This window comes from Homo sapiens, chromosome 7 (assembly GCF_000001405.40).
Source record: "Homo sapiens chromosome 7, GRCh38.p14 Primary Assembly".
Classification (NCBI taxonomy): Eukaryota; Metazoa; Chordata; class Mammalia; order Primates; family Hominidae; genus Homo; species Homo sapiens.
This window is the reverse complement of record NC_000007.14, coordinates 16,656,478-16,677,838: the sequence shown is the minus strand read 5'-3', so window position 1 is coordinate 16,677,838 and position 21,361 is coordinate 16,656,478. Positions and strand designations below refer to the sequence as shown.

General features: G+C 37.8%; 1 protein-coding gene across 7 annotated transcripts in view, besides 1 other annotated feature; it reads right to left on the bottom strand.

Annotated features, from left to right (window-relative positions):
* BZW2 (basic leucine zipper and W2 domains 2) overlaps positions 1 to 21,361 on the bottom strand; it is a 60,337-nt gene that overhangs the window by 28,679 nt on the left and 10,297 nt on the right. For 3 of the 7 annotated variants that reach the window (NM_001159767.2, NM_001362718.2, NM_014038.3), the window contains exons 2-3: positions 12,338 to 12,402; positions 3,251 to 3,427 (exon numbers count right to left, since the gene is read on the bottom strand). In NM_001159767.2, the coding sequence (NP_001153239.1) occupies positions 3,251 to 3,427; positions 12,338 to 12,395 (235 nt within the window). In that variant the 5' untranslated portion in view covers positions 12,396 to 12,402. Of the gene's footprint in view, positions 1 to 3,250; positions 3,428 to 12,337; positions 12,403 to 15,584; positions 16,626 to 21,361 lie in introns of those variants that run through there. The other 4 variants (NM_001362717.2, NM_001362719.2, XM_006715707.2 and 1 more) reach the window with 3 other exon arrangements.
* Positions 19,504 to 20,087: an enhancer, noted in NCBI's record as "NANOG hESC enhancer chr7:16697377-16697960 (GRCh37/hg19 assembly coordinates)". NCBI's record gives its function as "activates a minimal SCP1, AML or CMV promoter by ChIP-STARR-seq in naive and primed H9 embryonic stem cells {active_cell/tissue: H9 hESC(naive and primed)}" and the evidence as "EXISTENCE:reporter gene assay evidence [ECO:0000049][PMID:30033119]".

Here is a 21,361-nt window from a genome sequence, read left to right as displayed (position 1 = left end):
TCACCAAACCTTTCACTTAGGCATTGATAGCACCCAGACGCCCAAATTATTATTTACTGGACCAGGCCTTTTCAAAACTATCAAGCAGATAGTCAGGGCCTGTGAAGTGTGCCAAAGAAATAATCCCCTGCACTGCAGGCCATACATTTCAATCCCTGTATCTTTAACCTCCTTGTTAAGTTTGTCTCTTCCAGAATCGAAGCTGTAAAACTAAAAATGTTCTTCAAATGGAGCCCCAGATGCAGTCCATGAATAAGATCTACCGTGGACCCCTGGACCGGCCTGCTAGCCCATGCTCCAATGTTAATGACATTGAAGGCACCCCTCCCGAGGAAATCTCAACTACACAACCCCTACTACACCTCAATTCAGCAGGAAGAAGTTAGAGCGGTCGTTGGCCAACCTCGCCAACAGCACTTAGGTTTTCCTGTTGAGAGGGGGTACTAAGAGACAGGACTAGCTGGATTTCCTAGGGTGACTAAGAATCCCTAAGCCTAGCTGGGAAGGTGACCACATCCACCTTTAAACATGGGGTTTGCAACTTAGCTCACACCCGACCAATCAGGTAGTAAAGAGAGCTCACTAAAATGCTAATTAGGCAAAAACAGGAGGCAAAGAAATAGCCAATCATCTATTGCCTGAGAGCACAGTGGGAAGGATAATGACTGGGATATAAACCCAGGCATTCAAGCCAGCAATGGCTACCCTCTTTGGGTCCCCTCCCTTTGTATGGGAGCTCTGTTTTCACTCCATTAAATCTTGCAACTGCCAAAAAAAAAAAAAAAAAGAAATCTGGGCTACAGAGATAAATCTGCTGATCATGGTAAAGGAAACTTTAAGAAACTCAACACAAATTATACAGATAATTTTATATGGGGAGGTGGTTAACGATGGAAGCCAGGAGTAATGTAAGAAGTGGCATGCAGAGAGGTAGAAGGAGGTCTAAGTGGTCTCGTGTAAGGGAAGAAAATAAAAGAGTTCAAGAATGACAAAAGGGCCAACAGTGCTGCCTAGAGGTCACTCAGTCTGAAAAGGGTCCATATAAGTGACTACTACAGTCATGTGACTTTGGCAAGAACCAAAACTCGCTGAAGATCACTCTGATAAAAATATATCATAATTAACGAAATACTAGAAGTCAATAATATATTAGGAAATATTCAACTCCACTATTAAAGTTTTAAAATGAAAATACTCATCCCTTACCTAATTGACAGAGATCTAGAGAACTGATGAAATTAGGTAGCTAACATTGTTAAAGGTGTATGTAAATAGGAACTCATAATTTTTGATAAAATATTAAATATAATGTTCCTTTTGAAGATCGCAATGGTGTGATCTCGGCTCACTGCAACCTCCACTTCCTGGATTCAAGAGATTCTCCTGCCTCAGCCCCCTGAGTAGCTGGGATTACAGGCACCCACCACTATGCCCAGCTAATTTGGTATTTTTAGTAGAGACAGGGTTTCTCCACGTTGGTCAGGCTGGTCTCGAACTCCCGATCTCAGGTGATCTGCCTGCCTTGGCTTCCCAAAGTGCTGGGATTACAGGTGTGAGCCACCGTGCCCAGCCCCTAAATATTCTTTAACATCCGTTTGGCTTTAATTCTTTTTAGAATCATCCAGTATAACACTGATGGGTGTGCAAGGCAGCAACATATTGCTGAATAAATACAAATCAGCATGCAGAATATCGTATTTGCATAATGTCACCCAGTCTCAAAATTTTATGAGGTAAAGAGATTTCTTTTTTCTTTTCGAGAGAGAATCTCGCTCTGTCACCCAGGTTGGGGTGCAGAGGCTCGATCTCAGCTCACTGTAACCTCTGCCTTCTAGGTTCAAGTGATTCTCCTGCCTCAGCATCTCTAGTAGCTGGGATTACAGGCAGCCGCCACCACATCCTGTTAAATTTTGTATTTTTTTATAGACACGGGGTTTCACCATGTTGGCCAAGCTGGTCTCGAACTCCTGACCTCAGGTGATCCGCCCGCCTCAGCCTCCCAAAGTGTTGGGATTACAGGCGTGAGCCACCACGCCCGGCTGCTAAAGAGATTTCCAGAAGGGAAGTAACCAAAATGTTAACAATGATTTTTCCCGGGTAATGGGATTTGAGCTCAATATAGATAGCTGTTATACTTAGACTTGAATTATTTACAGTCATAATGTAAGCTCTTCATAAACAATAAGAACAACAAAACTAATTCAGTATGTGGTGAAAACTAGCAAGGCAGAATGACAGAAGGCCTAGTAGTCAATGGGGCCATGTACCAAACAGATTGCTTGAAATAAGAGCTCAGAGAAAAAGGAATTTACGGGCAGTTCCACCTCAAGATGGAGGAATGTATGCACATTCTTTTTCAAAGCCAAGGTAGGCTGGCTTAAGCAGTGTTTTCTCAAGGAAAGGCAATGATGGCACTTTGGGCAAGGCAATCTTTCATTATGTTGCATGTTCTTTGCATAGCAGGTAGACAAATACCTGCCCTCCCCGCTTAAGTCTTTTTAACAACTAAAACACTTGCACACATTTGCAAACTGAAAATTCCTGGCCTAGGAAATTTGACCGTTTCTAGTGATTTACAGCTACGACAGGAACTAACGATAAGAACTCAGATCTAAGAATGACTATGAGAGGAAAAATGGGTGGCTATTATACTTAATAAATATTAGAATCATCTACTTAATAAACTTAAATAGCATTTGAAGCCTACTTTCCTGATGCCTCTGTTCTATAAGGTATAGCTTTTATTTTGTTTTCACCTATCTTTAACAATTTCTAATCTTCTATCTTTAATTTTTCTACTTACTTAAAATTTAAATGATTTTTCAAAAACCAGGTTTAAACTATATTTCTTATATGCTTTATTTATGGATGAAATGGCATTAATTAAACCTTGGAAATTTATACACTAAGTTATAGTATTTTGCAGAAATTACCCCTTTTATGGCCCCACCAAAAACACTGAAAGATTAGGGACATATGAGAAAGGCGGCTTTTAGGAGAAGCAAAGTGGCCAACTTTGTTGTAACGTCAACCAAAGTCCTCCATTCTATGCTTCTATTAACCAATAATCATTTCACATCTGCATTAATACCATTCCAAATCCTAAACCAGGTAAAATTATAGGCTTCCATTTGTATTTTTATTAACTCTAATAAACATAAACTTATAAAGACTCTATCTTATAAGGAAATACTTCAACAGAATTAAAAATATATAAATATACTACAAGAAGCGATAATGCATGGTTTACCAAGCATACTGCCAGCCACCAGGATATCGAAGAGTGTGTCTGCATAGCGACGATAATCTAATCTTGAGCCTGTAGAGTCCAGAAATTTGGCTACAGCTTCAAGGTCATCACCAGCCTCATTAAGCCCCTGGACAAGTGTATCCCTGAAGACTGTGGGTTCGAATTTCTCTTTTTCATCTAAAATAAAACAATTCAAAATAACAGTCAAATAAATAAATAAATACTGAGAGTATAACAATCAAAACTTTAATTCTATTTTATCTAAGATAGGAAAAAAAAATCCACAGAGCATCGCCAAAGAATGTACGAGAATATACAAATATAAACAAACAAATAAAGATGGCATAGGGGAATAAGAAGGGATGTCTCTTTTAAAATAAGTTACTGTAGGCCGGGCGCGGTGGCTCACGCCTGTAATCCCAGCACTTTGGGAGGCCAAGGCAGGTGGATCACCAGAGGTCAGGAATTCGAGACCAGCCTCGCCAAAACAATGAAACTCCGTCTCTATTAAAAATATAAAAAATTAGCTGGGCATGGTGGTGGGTGCCTGTAATCCCAGCTACTGGGAGGCTGAGGCAGGAGAATCACTTGAACCCAGGAGGTGGAGGTTGCGGTGAGCAGAGACAGTGCCATTGCACCCCAGCCTGGGAGACAAGAGTGAAACGCTGTCTCAAAAAAATTAAAAATAATAATAATAACTTATTGCAGAGTACTTAAATATTTAATAGATGTAATGAGCCATATATGTATATCTACAGCTTCAGGACAGATGTGCTAAACTTTTTGGTCTCATGACCTCTTGACACTTAAAATGTACATTTGGAATTAGGATTCCAAAGTATCCTTTGGAAAAAGACTCTGGAATCCTAATTACAAAGGATTAGGATTCTAAACTTTGGAACCCTAATTCCAAAGTTTTGGATCCTAACCCAAAAACTCTTTGGAATCCTAACTCCAAAGCATTCCAAAGGGAGTTTTTGTTTATGGAGGTTCAATCTATGGATATTTATTTTAAGAAATTAAAACAAAACATTTTATAGTATTTATTTAACAAAAAAAAATTAGTGAGAAGGATAGTACTGTTTTATACTCTTGCAAATTCTCTTTAATGCCTGGCTTAATGGCAGACAGATCAATTTTCATATCCACTGCATTCAATTTACTGCAATATCACACATCTTTAAACTCTAGAAAACTCCACTGTAAAAGTATGAGAGAATGTGTGAAAGACGTGAATATCTTGGTATCATTATAAAAATGGTTTTGATTTTGTGGGGCTTCAGAGGACTGACAGGGATATAGATATTATGTAGCTTTTTTTCCTTAGAAAGTGGATAAGACAAGGCCGGGCGTGGTGGCTCACGCCTGTAATCCCAGCACTTTGGGAGGCCGAGGCGGGCGGATCACGAGGTCAGAAGATTGAGACCATCCTGGCTAACGTGGTGAAACCCCGTCTCTACTAAAAATACAAAAAATTAGCCAGGGGTGGTGGCGGGCCCCTGTTAGTCCCAGCTACTCGGGAGGCTGAAGCAGGAGAATCACTTGAACCCGGGAGGCGGAGCTTGCAGTGAGCCAAGATCGCGCCATTGCACTCCAGCCTGGGTGACAGAGCGAGACTCCGTTTCAAAAAAAAAAAGAAAGTGGATAAGACAAACACAGAGCAATCACAAAGGCACACATGAAAAGCATAAATGAGCTGTCACAGTGAAATGGACACATGAGTCTGCAGAAGTAGTTTGGTGTGGTGACTGGAAGTTTGGGTTTGGAAAGAGTTTTGGTTTAGACTCTAGCAAAACCTTGTGGAAGGTCGACTTGGAGCCAGGTCTTGAACAAAGCAGGGATCATATACTGTTGATAAGAAGTGAAGATGACAAACCACATGTCAGATTTGGTGGAAAAGAATGAGTGGATTAAAGGTAAAGGGTCTGTAGTTCAACTCAAAGGACATCACCCTTTTTTTCCAAACCCATGGAGAATAAGTCTGGATGTGAGGAGAGAGGAGCAAAGGATGAACCCAAAACTTCAAAAGAAAAAATTGTATCACAGATCTCTCTAGAGAGAAAGGTGAAAGATACTGCAACAGAAGTGGGAGGGATGGAGGGAAGAGAATACTATAAAAATATTTCATAAATAAAGAGTTCTTGGAAATAAAAAATATGATAGGAAAAGTAAAAAACTCAATGGAAGCATTAAGAGAAACCTAAGATTATCTTTCAGAAAATAGAAAAAAGGTCAAAGACCTAGAAAATAGTAGCAAAAAGAAGAGAAAAAGGGCAGACCTGTCAAATATCCAAAAAAATACATCGAATAGACAGAATGAGAAAACAAAGGAAAGGAAATTTTTTGAAAAATCTCAATAAATCTCCCAGAAATGAAAGATTGTTTCCAAGTACATGGCTGTCTGGGAACCCAGCACAAAGACTGAAAGTGGATTCACACAAAGTACATTGATTACTGTGAGATTTCAGAATACTGGGAACAAAGCAATTATCTGAAGTTTCCGGGGTGATAAAAAAACAAGTGGTATGTAAAACTTATCAAGCAACTAAATTGCTCAACAGAAATACCAGACACAGAAGACATTTCTTCAAAATTCTTATGGAAAAGTATTTCCAGCCTAGAATTCTTGTTAGTGTTCCGATTTTTTTTTTTTTTTTTGAAACAGGGTCTCACTCTGTCACCCAGGCTGGAGGGCAGTGGCGCAATCTTGGCTCACCATAACCTCTGCCTCCTGGGTTCATGTGATTTTCCTGCTTCAGCTTCCCAAGTAGCTGGGACTACAGGTACATGCCACCACACCCAGCTAGCTTTTGTATTTTCAGTACAGACAGGATCTTGCCATGTTGCATAGGCTGGTCTCAAACTCTTGGCCTCAAAAGATCCACCTGCCTTGGCCTCCCAAAGTACTCGGATTACAGGCATGAGCCACTGTGCCTGGCCCAGCCAAACTACTAATCAAGGGTAAGAGCAATACGAACATACATATACTGAAACACCCAAGGCCTCAAAAATGGATAATAACTGAAGAGTAAGTCATGAGATCCCAGGCAAGAGGGAAAAAACAAGACAGGCAATAGTACTCTTGTGGATAATGGTGAAAGGACATTTCAAGCTTTTCCTTAAGTGTTTTGTATTAAGAGATTCGTACAACAAAGGGAAAGGTTAGGGTGGGCTAGTTTTAAGGCACAGAAAACTAAGGCCCCCCAACTCAAGAGATAATTACATTTATTAAATCAAGAGATAACAAAATAACGTTATTTTTTAAAAATGCAGTCATATCATAGTTCAGCTGTGAATAGCATGTACAATGTCACAAAAATATAAACCCTAAACATTGGTGTAGCTGAAACTATATGATACAATGAAAGAATAGAGAAGGACAGGAAGTATGGGGATGGGGGGAAGCAAGCAATGAAAGAGAGCTGAATCATCATTTTCCATAGTAGAAAAGGCATATCTACTATCTCCAACAGAAAAAATCAAGAACTAGCCATACTATGTGCATGCATAACTTTGATAAAATTAAAAACTACATTTTAAAACCATATAGCAACTGCCTAGTTTGTACTGCTTGTAAGTGGTCTAACAGAAGGGCTGGGTTGTAAGTGGTTAACACTAGTCACATAAGCATGAGAACCAGAGAAGAATGGCATTCCCAGTACCAGTCAGAGTCACGCAGCGTGAGATACCATAAAGACACACATAAATTAACTGGGACAATATTCATCATGAACAAGAGATAAAAAGTCCTTTTGATGCTGTAAGCAAAACATTATGCAGTCAAGAACATGCAAATGGTGACTGCAGAAAAAATATAATTAGGGTCTTGTTGTGTAGAGGGGGAGGAAAACGCATAGGAATTCTAGAGGAATACATTAGGTGGAGTGGGAGGAGGGGATAACTGGGTTTCTACACAAAAGGAACCCACTGAAAAGCACAGAAAACTTCACCTCCCACTCAGGGTCTAGCCAACAGGCAATTCTCCTTCCTTGTTGAAAAAAGATATTTTCTTTCCTATAATATGAGAAAGGTGGAAATAAAACAACTACATGCTGTTATATTAAGTCTTGTGACCAGTTTCCAAAATCAAATAAAGTCATTCCCACAAAGGCCCTACCACATGGTTGGATGTTGATTCAGGTGGTAGAACAGATTTTGATGATTTGAAAATTACAAATGGAGGCATTGGGAAATGTAAATGGATAAATGAGGAAAAACCCAGATTATGCCAAGAATCAATGCAGAGGACTTTGTTTTCAATGTAAGACACAACTTAAAAACTTGTTTGTAAAAAGATCTTCATCCTCCCATTCCAAAAGAATTACCAGCAAACAGAAAAAGGAAGATAGCATACTACAGCCAAGGATATTTCAACAGTGAGCAATAAGGGTGGTAGGTCAAAATGATTACTTACAGCTTGGAAATCTTAAAAACTTATGATGGACCGAAAGGACTAATAATTGTTTTGCAGGCTGAAAAAAGCTCCCAGCTGCTAAAACAAAGTGACCATCAAAAGGACTAGAAAATTCCCATATAAGAAAATGGCAAGAACACTAATGAAAACTTGAGAAACAAGACAACTTTGGAACTAAAGAGTCTTTTTCATCTGAAAGTACAGTAAATGTAGTTTGCATTTTATTAGAGGACAGTCTAGCAGAAATACTAACAAAATTCGAATGAAAATATGCCATTGCCTCCTTGGATTTCCATTTGGCAGTTCAAGTCTGCCTTGAAGTGAGAAGGATATAATTAGGGTCTCCAATTTAAACTGTGCTGGTGAATCATAATTGTGATACTCAAGAGTTAGTCATCATAGCCCTTGTACTGACATAGAGAAGAAATGGGCCTAATTCTGACACTCAAATATGCGTATACATTACCTAACTTGCTTACTGTGGGAACTACAGTAACTGGTTAAAAACACATTAGTGAAGTGATATAATAGCAGAACCTACATCCCTTTCTGGATGTCACTGAGATGTAGCAATGAATTTTAAAAATCACATATTTTCTTTTTTCCTGTAAAATCAAATGTATTTTCTAATTATATATATACACATACTCATATTTGCACATATATTTCAAGATTTAAAGGTTTGCTCATTTAGTTATTAACACCACTTACTATAAAGCTAAAAGTGATTTAAAACCAATATTACATGGCTGGGCATGGTGGCTCACGCCTGTAATCCCAGCACTTTGGGAGGCCAAGGTAGATGGATCACTTGAGCCCAGGCGTTCTGAGACGAACCTGAGCAACATGATGAAACTTCAGGTTTACTAAAAAATACAAAACTTAGCTGGGTGTGGTGGTGCACGCCTGTAATCCCAGCTACTCGGGAGGTTGAGGCACAAGAATCACTTGAATCTGGGAGGGAGAGGCTGCAGTGAGCTGAGATTGCGCCACTGAACTCCAGCCTAGATGACAGAGTGAGACTGTCTCCAACAACAAAAACAAAAAACATTATTTACAGAGCTAAAGTCTCAGGGAGAAACCTGAGCACATGGTCATGCTGAATGCCTGCAGTTTGGCCTTTTTTTCTCTCTCTTGTTTTCACTAATTGTAATCCAATTTTTCTAAAAATGTACAGAAAGAACAGTTTGATTATTAAATGTTTCATTTAGCAAAGCATAATCCAATTGCTCATGGGAGAAATTTTCATCTTTTCAGATTTTCACAAGTCACAGGAAAAAACATAATTACTTTGGAGAATATATCATAAGTGAGATGTGTTTCATAAAGGAAAAGAGAATCTGATTAGAGTTCTATTATATAATGTGTCCTGCCATGACGTTTGTATTTTAATGCTAAGCAGTAACGACAATGCAATAAGAAATACATTGTCATACTAACTTGGCATGCAGGAGCACTGGCTTTGCTAGGAAATGTTTCAAAGTGAAGACCTATCTTCAGAAAACAGCCTATCACAAGGACCTTGAAATATCCTCAGTAGTAATTTTCCCCAGCTCTACAAAATTGCTAATCACTTATTTGATGTCAGCCCCTTCATAATAGCAAAGAAAAGTTAAGGATGAGAAATCATCAGGAGGCGTTTCACTACTAAGAAGAGCAGAAAATGAAGTTGACTCAATTTTTATTCCCCCATCAGGAGTTTGGCACAAAATGGCTCAAGTGTTGCTTCAATCCCCAAGAGATATGAGTTATATGAATCTAGATCAACTGGCAAATAATATATATTTCTCAGTGGCTCTCCCTGAGCACTCCAACAGCACAATCTTGACCACCAAGTGATTCAGAGGCAAACCGGTTCTGAAGGAGAGAAAACTTTCTGGTTCTTAACTGAAGACAAACGTAAGGGCCAGTTTACTCGCTGACTCACGTCTGCTGTTGTGCAACACATTCTGAGGCCCTCTCTTGAGCTCAGTTCCAGTGAATTAGCGTCACACTAATAAAGATGCTTGAGGTGGAGATCCAGCTCTGAGATTAACACGATCCCCCAGCGGCAGGCAATAGCCAACGTTTCTGTGCCTCATAGCTGGGCATATATTAGCTATTATCACATTACTAGGCTCCACAATACCTTCACTGTAATTAGGTTTCTGAACTATATTGGTCATTACTGATAAATCCTTTTAAAATCATCCATGTCCTTTTTTCCAAGACTGCTTTAAACAATAAGACAATGAATTCTGGTTAGCACTTTGTGTTTGATATCTGCTTCCAGATGGCAAGGGGCAATGTAGTGGGGCACAATTTGTAAGAGTAAGATGAGGACTAAATAGAGAAGTGGCTCAGGCTATACTTGTACTTATTCTTCTCATGCGGATAGGCCAGAAATGAAAAAAATAGAAAAGGGAGAGTGCAAAACAGAAAAACTGTACAAAGTAACTATTTTCCGGTCACTTGAATTTTTTTTAATTTTTATATTTTACTTTGAACATGAAGCTTCCCAGCAGATAGCACACAGTTAAATTCAGTCTTACTGCTTCCTAGTGACTCTTACAAACTCTTCTGATCCAAATGATCTATTATATTGCAATTTCTTTTCCGTCTACGTGACTAGACTTGTTACTTAAATGGAGACAGCACTGCAAGAGAACACAGGCTGCTTAGCACTGACTGCCAAAGGCATATAAAGTCAGTTATTAAAGAGATAATTTAGTCCTGCAAGATCATTACATGTGATTCTGCTCCAACATCTTTTACCTTTATACATACTTCCTTAAATATTTTTCAGTAATTCCCTTCAACTTTATTTAATTTAATCACTCACATCATGTTTCCTCTTTGAAAAAGTTTCCCTATTGAGTTCCAGTTCAGCGTTTTTTTTTTTGTTTTTTTTTTTTTGAGATGGAGCTTCACTCGTTGCCCAGGCTGCAGTGCAGTGGTGCAATGTCGGCTCACTGACCTCCCAATCCTGGGTTCAAGCGATTCTCCTTGCCTCAGCCTCCAGAATAGCTGGGATTACAGGCATGCGCCACCACGCCTGGCTAATTTTGTACTTTTAGTAGAGACTGGGTTTCTCCATGTTGGTCAGGCTGGTCTCAAACTACCAACCTTAGGTGATCCACTCGCCTCGGCCTCCCAAAGTGTTGGGATTACAGGCATGAGCCACCACGCCTGGCCCCAGTTCAGCTATTCTTACATCCAAGAGGACCTCTATATAATTATGCAAAACTGACTAAATATAAAATCATGTTTAAAATATTCTTGGCTTGGTGTAGTGGCTCATGCCTGTAATCCCATCACTCTGGGAGGCTAAGACATGAACATCGCTTGAACCCAGCTTCAACAACATAGCAAGACCTTGTCTCCACACAAAAGTGGCTCCTTGGGTGGCTGAGGTGGGAGGAGCACTGGAGCCCAGGAGGTTGAGTCTGCAGTAGCTGTCATGGCACCACTGTATTCCAGCCTAGGTGTCAGAGCAAGACCCTATTTCAAAAATAAATAAGCCACTAATTAATTAATAATAAATAAATAGGCGGATCACAAGGTCAGGAGATCGAGACCAGCCTGGCCAATATGGTGAAACCCCGTCTGTACTTAAAATACAAAAATTAGCTGGGTATGATGGCGGTTGCCTGTAATCCCAGCTACTTGGGAGGCTGAGGCAGGAGAATCGCTTGAACCTGGGAGGAGGAGGTTGCAGTGAGCCGAGATGGCGCCACTGCACTCCAGCCTGACGACGGAGCAAGACTCCGTCTCTAAATAAATAAATAAATAAATAAATAAATAAAAGTCTTTTATACAGGCCAGGTGCAGTGGCTCACATCCACAATCTCAGCACTTTGGGAGGCCAAGGGAGGAGGACTGCTTGAGGCCAGGAGTTTGAGACCCTGTCTCTACAAAAAAATTTTTTTAAAACGTAGCCAGGTGTGGTGGTGTGCACCTATAGTCCCAGCTACTTGGGAGGCTGAGGTGAAAGGACCACTTGAGCCCAGGTGTTTGAGGATGCAGTGAGCTATCATCACACCACTGCACTCCAACCTGGGTGACAGTGCAAGACCCTGTCTCTAAAAAAATATATAAAATATTATTTACACAAAAAGAATGCTAAGATGAACATTATAAAAAAACAGTCACTCACACAAATAGAAATTTTACCAGTCATCATCAAAATGGGTCTATAACTACTCTTACCACAATTGAAGACACTTGAAAATATGGTTTTTAAGGGGAATTTAGGGCAGTAGATTTATTTTGACTTCTTCATTTCTGAAAAATTAAAAAACTCTTCAATATCTCACTTCCTAATTTACTTTTCATTTTATCATCTTTGCCATCAACGTTTTCATAAAACGACAAAGAAAGCAAAAACCAAATACAATGCTAATGTCAAAACCAGTAAAATTTATCAATTGCCTTCATAACCTCCTAAGACAACCTGAACAGAGATATCTATCCCATTCTGTAGATGAAAACAAGTAGCACAGGCAAATTAAATAACTTGTCCAACAAGTAACTGGCAGTTCTATGGTTTCACTAAAGCACTTCAGATTCTACACTCAGAGCTCAAATGAGTAGAATCAGTGAGGCTGGGGGAAACAGGGATCATTCAGATTCTTCTCCAATCTTATATTTTGGTTACAACTTTAAACACACACACACACACACACACAACCTACCCCTTTTCCGAGTTTTGAACCGCTGGCCTGTTAGCACTGGCTTCTGATGCTTATTCATAAAATTTCTGAAAACAAAGAAAATAAAGATTATGTATTTCAGATAAGCAGTTTATATGGAAAACATATGGCCAATAAGTTTGGTTGAACATATGTTCAACCTCACTCATTACTGAATATGCCTCTTTTTTTTTTTCAATTGAGACAGAGTCTCGCTGTCGCCCAGGTGGGAGTGCAGTGGTGTGATCTCAGCTCACTGCAACCTCTGCATCCCGGGTTCAAGTGATTATCCTGCCTCAGCCTCCTGAGTAGCTGGGACTACAAGCGTGAGCCACCACGCCCAGCTAATTTTTGTATTTTTAGTAGAGACGGGGTTTCACCATGGTGGCCAGGTCTTGAACTCCAGACCTTGTGATCCACCCACCTTGGCCTCACAAACTGTTGGGATTACAGGCGTGAGCCACGGCGCCCGGCATAAATACACTTTTAAAAATGAGATCTAATTTTAACTTGGACTAGCAAAAATTTTAAAGTTTACTAATACTCAGTGTTGGCAAAGGACATAGGAAAAACAACCACAGACACCAACTTTGATGTAAAGGTTAAACTCCATGAAATACTTTGAGGAAAATTTTGGTGAGTATTTACTATAAACATTTACATGGGCATAACCTTGGTCCAGCAGTACTCTACCAGGAATTTATCCTGTAGCTATATTCACACAAGAATGCAAATATACTTGTATATGTAAAAGGATTTAGTTGCAGCATTGTTGTATACATAAAAAATGGAACATGAAATGTCCTCAAATAAGTTATAATTTAGGCACCAAGTGGAACACCACGAAGCTTTATGAAAGCAAGAATTAGATCTAACTGTACCACATTTCTGATCCTGGCTACCTTTCTGACGGTATATGTATGTTCAATACACATCTCGTCTCATCGCTCATTGAGTTCCAGTCACATTGATCTCTTTGTTGTTCTTCCAATAGGCCAGATAAGGTCTGGCTTCTGAGGCTCTGTTCCTGCCTCTCTTTCAGGAAAGATCGTCCCCAGCTGTCCACATGGCTATCTCCTTGCAATCATTCAAATGCCTCCCTGAAAATGGAGGTCTTCTCTGACCATCTCCACCAAAGTGGCCTGTTGTCACTAGCTCTCCTTACTTGGCTTTGTTTTTCTTTAGCAGTGCCTGCCATTTTATTATTATCTCTTTGTCTGGGGTCTATACCCTCCATGAGTGTAACCTCCACTAGGACAGGAACCTTGTAGGTTTTTATTCCATAGAGCTCCTTTAGCTCCTCCATTCTGTATCTTTTATATTGAGCAAAGTATAAACATATAATAAATACTTTTCAAATAAGTTGCTGGACTGTTATGGAAAGATGCTCAAGGGATATTGATAGTGGAAAAAAGCAAGCTGAATAAAAGAATGTAAAGTACTTGGTTAAAAGGAGGGTGTATAGAATATATGGTTTTCTATGCAATAACAATTTAAGAAGGCTACAAGAAACTGTTAATAGATTTTTTATCTTTTTGGTTTACCTTAATGGACAGGGATTTGAGTACTTTATACTATTTTACTGGATTTAATACACAATTTAAAAATTGCAATATATTATCTTTGAAAAAATGTAAGGCCTGCTCCACAAGACTTCTTAAAAACTGAGAATATGCTTGCTGACTTAAATATTATAAACTGAAAATATGTCTAGATTGCTTCAATTATGAAGTCCAAACATTCAATATAACATGCATTATTCAAGCAAATTATTTAATTACCTTCCAAAGCTTTTAGATATTCACTTGGAAATGTCTAGATTTCCTTAATTACTTATACCATCAAACAATAAAAAATTTACATTATTCAAGTAATTTAATTACTCCCAAAAGTTTTTTTTAAAAAATCCTTAAGAACATGAAAAAATTATTTATGTACCAAATTTTCCTTCTTACACATAAAAGAGAAACTTGTAGCTTCACATAATAAAAAATCTGTTTATTATTGAAAACGTCAAGTTAATCATTATTTTAGAAGAGAAACTAATCAAAAGTCACATAAAACAAAAAAAGTAATTACATGGCTTGAGAAATAATTTTTGCCAACCCTATAAAGTAAAATGAACTTAATACATCACGCTTGGGGATACAAAGGTTATTAAGCCAGAATCCATGCCCTCGAGAAACTCACTAGGAAGGATAAAATTCAAACATTTGCAACACAATGTAATAGTTCAAACAGTAGAAACACAGACCAGTGTAAGAATAAAGTAATTGATTGCTTATGTGTATGGGGGCAACAGCAACATATCGAAATCATTACAAATGCTATAAACTTAATCAATGAATTCCCATTTCATTTGATGGATGTTGAAAATAGAGCTTCTAATGCATCATTTATATTCACTGCAAAAGTTTCATTCAGAAACTTTCCTGCTGGCATTATAAACAGATTCACTCTGAATCAGCCAATACTTTATTGTTGCAAAAGTGATGATGATATACATATTATTGTCTCCATATCTCCCAAACACAAATATTATACAAAATATATTTGTGTTAGCAAAGAAAAATATGTGTCAAGAATTTGGGTGTTGGGTCTTGTACCAAGATGCAAAAAGAATGTAGCTCAACTGGACAGAAATCTCTCCAGCAGACTTCTCTGCCAAAGATGTTTTTCTTCTTTCTTTCCGTCCTTTCTTTTTCTTTCTCTCTCCTTCCTTCCTTCCTTTTTTCTCTCTCTCTACCTCCTTAGAGATGAGGGTGTTACTATGTTGACCAGGGTGACTTCAAACTCCTGGACTCAAGCAATTCTCTCATCTCAGCCTCTTGAGTAACTAGGATTACAGGCGCACACCACTGTGCCAGGCTAAAAATGGTTTTTAATTTGTAATTTCAAAAATTCTAAAGTGTGAGTCCTTCCTAAAAGTTTTGTTTTGGGGTTTAGAACACAAACTCATGGAATTCCCTAATTAACTCTTTGCACCTTGTTTTTCTTTTTTCTGTTAATGGAGAAGTACCACCAAACACAGCATATGAAAGAATTACTCTATTTTCAAATGTTTAGCTTTTATACTTACTTCCTTTCTAAGCATAAAAGTTTGTTTCTTTATAACCCAGGTATGTGGGCTTACTTTTCATACCCTCGATACATTCCATGTGGAGAAACACATGATAACATGTAAACATAAAAATGTATGCAAAGACTTTGGTATAACACCCAAAATTAACACAAACAAACAAAAACTCACCCACTGGTGGTGACAGACTAAATAAAGATATTCTGCTCTCCAAGAGTGTCTATCCTTTAGCTGTTACTATTTGGAGCAGAGGCCCCACTTCCCTCTAAATTTAGCTCTTCATGCTACACTATAATCTGCTCCAGTAAGGGTCAGCCTTTATAAGGTACTCACTAAGCCCTTATAAAAGCCCTGGCCTAAGAGAAGCAAGGACACTTTGAATAAGAAACTGCTCGCTTCAACCTAGGAAGATAACAAAGACAGTTCTATTAGGCCAATGTCAAAGGCTGTTAGTACACTGCCCTACAATGTATTTTCAAATCTAATAACTAAAAATACTTAAGTTTAAAAAAATAAAAGTTTAACAGTATCCTCAGAGACAAATCCCCATGGTGGTACAACCTATGCATCATGACAATTTGGCTTCTGTTTTAAAAACTATAAGCCACACACAAAATACACACATATTCTACCAAAATGGAACAGTTCCATGGTTTAAAATAATATTAAAATTGTATGTGAAATGGTAAACAAAATGGACTTAAGTATTTCACATGTCACCTAAGAGACTACATTTCTTGGATACTCCACAAGGTAAAAGAAGGCGATAAGAATACTAAAATGATCCAATCAATCAAATATTTAGAAACTTGATACTATATTAATGAATCGAACACTTTTGCATAAATTCCTATTTTAAGTGTAAATTGAAAGGTTTTTAGGTCTAACCTATTACATTTATTTCTGTTACCTACCTCAGTCTGTTAATCTTCTAACTGTCCTAGCATCTTTTTCAAATTCGGTCCCTTAACTTGCAATGAGACTCTGGGCCCAGGTGTGACAATGAGCCACACTGGCACAGATGCATCTCATAGCAACTGTGCACTAATCCTTCCAGTTACCCAGCCCACCTTAAGTGGATTAGCACCTTCGATGTAGACTGATCAGTCTTACCTGGGACTCTTCTTTAGTTCTCTCCATTTTGGAAAGAAACTGATCTACCAGAGGACTTACCTTCTAGTTGTCCCTACAAGGGAATGACTGCTCCTGTCTAATTATCCAGCACTTTGGTCTTAGATTCTATTTTTGACTGCTCTGGTATGACTCATCTTTGAACTATGATAACCTGCCTTACGTAACATGCTATATTACTAACATGTGCTATGCATATGTTATTCAAACAACTTTATGAGCATATATACTCTAAAGCAGGGAACACAACATTTTTTGTAAAGAAATAAAAGAAAAATATTTTACTCTCTCTGAGGGATATAAGGTTTCTGTTCCAACCACTCAATTCTGCTGTTACAGTGTGAAAGCAGCCATGGACAATATGCAGACAAATGGTCATGGCTGTATTCCAGTAAAACTTCATATTAACACAACAAGTGGTGGACCAGATTGGACCCCCAGGAGGTCCTTTGTGAACTCCTATTCTAGCGCATTGTATCCAATAGAAGTGTCTGTGATGATGGAAACGTTCTCTATCAGCACTATCTAATATAGTAGCCACTACTGATCCCTTGAAATGCGGCTAGTGACTAGACAAATAAATGTTTAATTTTATTTTATTTCCATTAACTAAATTTAAACAGTGTGGCTAATGGTTACTTATGTTAGGCTGTGCAATTCTTATGTCCCAAAACACTTAAATTTGATACAAAGATAAAAATACATCTAAAGAATAGAAATTTTTAATTAATATTTTTCAAATAAAGTAGCTCGAAGAGTAGTCTGCACAAATTTCAAAGCCAGGTGGCTAGAGTGAGGAAAAAAGAAAAATTACCACATTCCAAAGTAACACTCTGTGTGCAGTCAATACTGTTTAAGACTTTAGGAAAAAAAGACCTTTTTTTTTTTTTTTTTAAATATGGAGTCTCGCTCTGTCACCCAGGCTAAAATGCAGGGGTGTGATATCTGCTCACTGCAGCCCCGACCACGTGGGCTCAAAAGATCCTCCCAAGTAGCTAGGACTACAGGCACACTACCAGGCCCGGCTAATTTTTTATATATTTTGATAGAGACAGGGTTTCCCCATGTTGCCCAAGGTGGAAAAAAGACTTTGGAGTCTAAAAATTATAGGGCAACAACATAAAAAAGGATGAGTTCATGTCCTTTGTAGGGACATGGATGAAGCTGGAAACCATCATTCTCAGCAAACTATCTGAAGGACAAAAAACCAAACACCGCATGTTCTCACTCATAGGTGGGAACTGAACAATGAGAACACGTGGACACAGGAAGGGGCCTGTTGTGGGGTGGGGGAGGGGGAAGGGATAGCATTGGGAGATATACCTAATGTTAATGACGAGTTAATGGGTGCAGCACACCAACATGGCACCTGTATACATATGTAACAAACCTGCACGTTGTGCACATGTACCCTAGAACTTAAAGTATAATAAAAAAAAAAATAAAAAAATAAAAACAAAAATTATAGGGCAACAATATCATTCCCAAAGTATAAAACGTTTCATAAAGATATAATAACAACACACAAAACTCAATAAAATTGAGACACTTCACTGCAGTGTTCTCATGAAGTACTTTGTATTTAATAACAAGTTTCAAGAATTACCTTTTATTCTATATTTTAAATGAGTAAAATTATCTACTATTAAAATAAACTTTAAAAATTACCCATAACTATACAACATTTTCCTTTCCATTAATGCTAAAATTAAAAGAACAAGTAACATAAAATCCTTTACAGAAAATAAAGGAATCTAGGAATCTTTTGGGTTGATAACATTGTATTATCATTCTCTCCAAAGAAACAAAAAATAATTAAGTTGGTTCTAAAAGTTTAAATTATTGACACTCTAAGCAACAAACTAACTATATGCCTATAATAACACTATACAATTTGTTGCCTGAAATAACATTAGCTTGTTTAATATCCTTATCATGATTTTGTAACAGCCTCTGCCTACTCAAAATCACTCAGCCAGTACAAAAAGCTTAATTACTAACAAATACTATGAAAGTTGTAGTATTTATAATAATTGAAAAAAAATTAAAATTCAAAACATGACACGAGTTATTTGGGCTTTAATAACTCTTTATAAGGTAGATAGTTGGCACAAGTAAAGAGTCCACCATTAAAGTTCTTCACTGGAAAATATATACATTTTTGAGGAGAATATACTTTTTTTATTGTTTTTTTTTAGTTTTTAAGAGTTTCGCCATGTTGCCCAGGCTGGTCTCGAACTCTTGAGCTCAAGCAGTCCTCCTGCCTCAGCCTCCCAAATTGCTGGGATTCCTCACCTGATCCTGTTTAATGCTTTTTTTTTTTAAGTTATTTTTATTCTTTTATATTATTCAGGATAAGAATGAAAGGAATAGGGAAATGACAGCAACATATAAATATATATATATATATACATTTTTCTGAGACGGATTCTTGCTCTGTTGCCCAGGCTGGAGTGCAGTGGTGCGATCTTGGCTCACTACAACCTCCACCTCCTGGGTTCAAGTGATTCTCCTGCCTCAGCCTCCCAAGTAGCTGGGATTACAGTTGCACGCCACCATGCCCGGCTAATTTTTGTATTTTTAGTACAGACGGGGTTTCACTATGTTGGACAGGCTGATCTCAATCTCCTGACCTCATGATCTGCCCACCCCGGCCTCCCAAAGTGCTGGGATTACAGGCATAAGCCACTGCGCCTGGCCGACAGCAATATTTTTATATTAGAAAAAAGAGCATTTGACCTTATTTTTCCCTTAGAGCTGTTAATGCAAATCTCCTTTCAGAAAACATAAAGGCACCATGAGAAAGTTTTCATTTTATTATAATACTTCCAAAACTACTTTACACCTTAAACTAATTAGAAGACCTAAGTTGTAAATGCTTGAATGCTTGTTTTTAAAATTTCCTTTTAAATAAAAATAAAAATATTACAAAAATTACATTTTAAATATCCATGTAGAAACAAATTAAGGCAACTACACAATGTCACTTACTTTATCTCAGTGAAGCTATTTTCAAAAACTTTTAAGAAGTATAAATTAATTCCTAAAATCCTTTCATTCTAGGAATCACTTCCTGGTCTCTAGTTACTGCAATTCTACTTTTCTAAGAGGTCCCTTAAGGCATGTGCATTCCTTCCTCTGGGCCCTTGCACTTTCCCCAGATGGGTTATCTCCCAGGCCCTGCCCTTCCCCCAAGGGCTAGCCAGCTCATTCAATCTTCCAGATGGTCTAATTTTACTGATGTCATTCTTAGGTCTTTCAACACTCTGAAGACACAAACACATATACACTACCCACATTGTAGCATACTTTGGCTTTTAGAAAACCCGTCCCTCAAATATAATGTTTCAGGGTACTTTAACAAAATGCCCTAAAACTTCTGCTCTCGATACGTTAAGACCCTTAGGTCTGAAATGTCAGTGAAGTGCTGAGGTTGAGAAACCCTACTGTAGAGAGGAAACAATGGTGAGCAAAGCCAGAGGTGGTCCCTGCTCTCAAGGGCTGAAAATTTTGCACCCAGATCTGAACATACCAGTGGCAACTAAGCACATATTTTATTGAACTACTTACTCGTATTTGCCAAATACTGGTGTCAAATTTTAGAAAAAAAAAAGTTTATCACTAGATAGTCATATCTCAAACCAAAAGTACAGTTAGAATGTACAAAATACATGTTTCCCAGTCTCTGATACTAACAATTTATTTCTGAAATTGGTAATTTTACATCTTATGCAATTTAGTGGAAGGGCAGAGGATAGGCAAGAATATGGGTTTTAAAGAGAGCAGAAAAAGAAGCTCAACACCAGCAGACAAACTTTTTCTACTTTAGGATATTGCATCAATGGAAACAAAAACAAGAAAGAAAAGAGAAATTTTAATATACAATGTGTGACTTAAAAATGTTAATTTCTATGACTTTGAGAAAACAATGACATGCTATGTAGATACAGCAAAATGCAATATTCTATATACATGATGTGATCTTGGCTATGTAAAATACATTTACGTCCAATGGTGGTCAACATGAGTAGTGGGTTCAAGGCACCTCTTATTCTTCTTACCTATACTTGTCTATATTTTCTGTAAAATAAATGCATATCCTTTCTATAATTAGAAAATTGTATATACTTAAGTGAAAACGTTTTAACCTCTTTTGAAGTTCAAACCAATTCTCAAAGAGTCACGAGCAATAATAACATTTTTGCATAAAAAGATATGTGCCACAGGATCTAACTATCATTCCCTACTGAGAGAAACCAAAGTTTCTTGGATAAATGGCTGACTCCAAGGCTGGAGCAGGGGAGATTCACTATGATCCTGGGATGTCTTGTGTTGGCAAATTCAAAAGTGTCTAAAAAAAAATCAAGCTAGATCAAAACAACATAAGAGCCATCTTGAGGACAATTCCACTGGCCTAGCCCAGGGCAATTTGAGGACCCAAATAACTAAGGATAATAGCTAATAACCCATTCAAAAAAATACAAACCCATAGGTCCATGCTCATAACTTTTAGCTTCATTTTAAAGAAAACAAATTTTTCAGTACACAAGGAAAGGGAAGTAAGTGAAAGATTTTCCTTCAGTAGAATGTCAACTAATAAACAGAGAATGAAACATTGAATTAGAAAATCACCATTTTGCAACAATTAAATAAAAAACTGATTCATGCAAGAGTAATCAATGTATGCTAAACCTACTTGTGTGTGTGTGTGTGTGTGTGTGTGTGTGTGTGTGTGTGTGCGCGCGCGCGCTGGGGAGTGCTTGATGATCAACAGGATACTTACATAGCCTCCAAGCATCTTCACATAAATTTTTTTA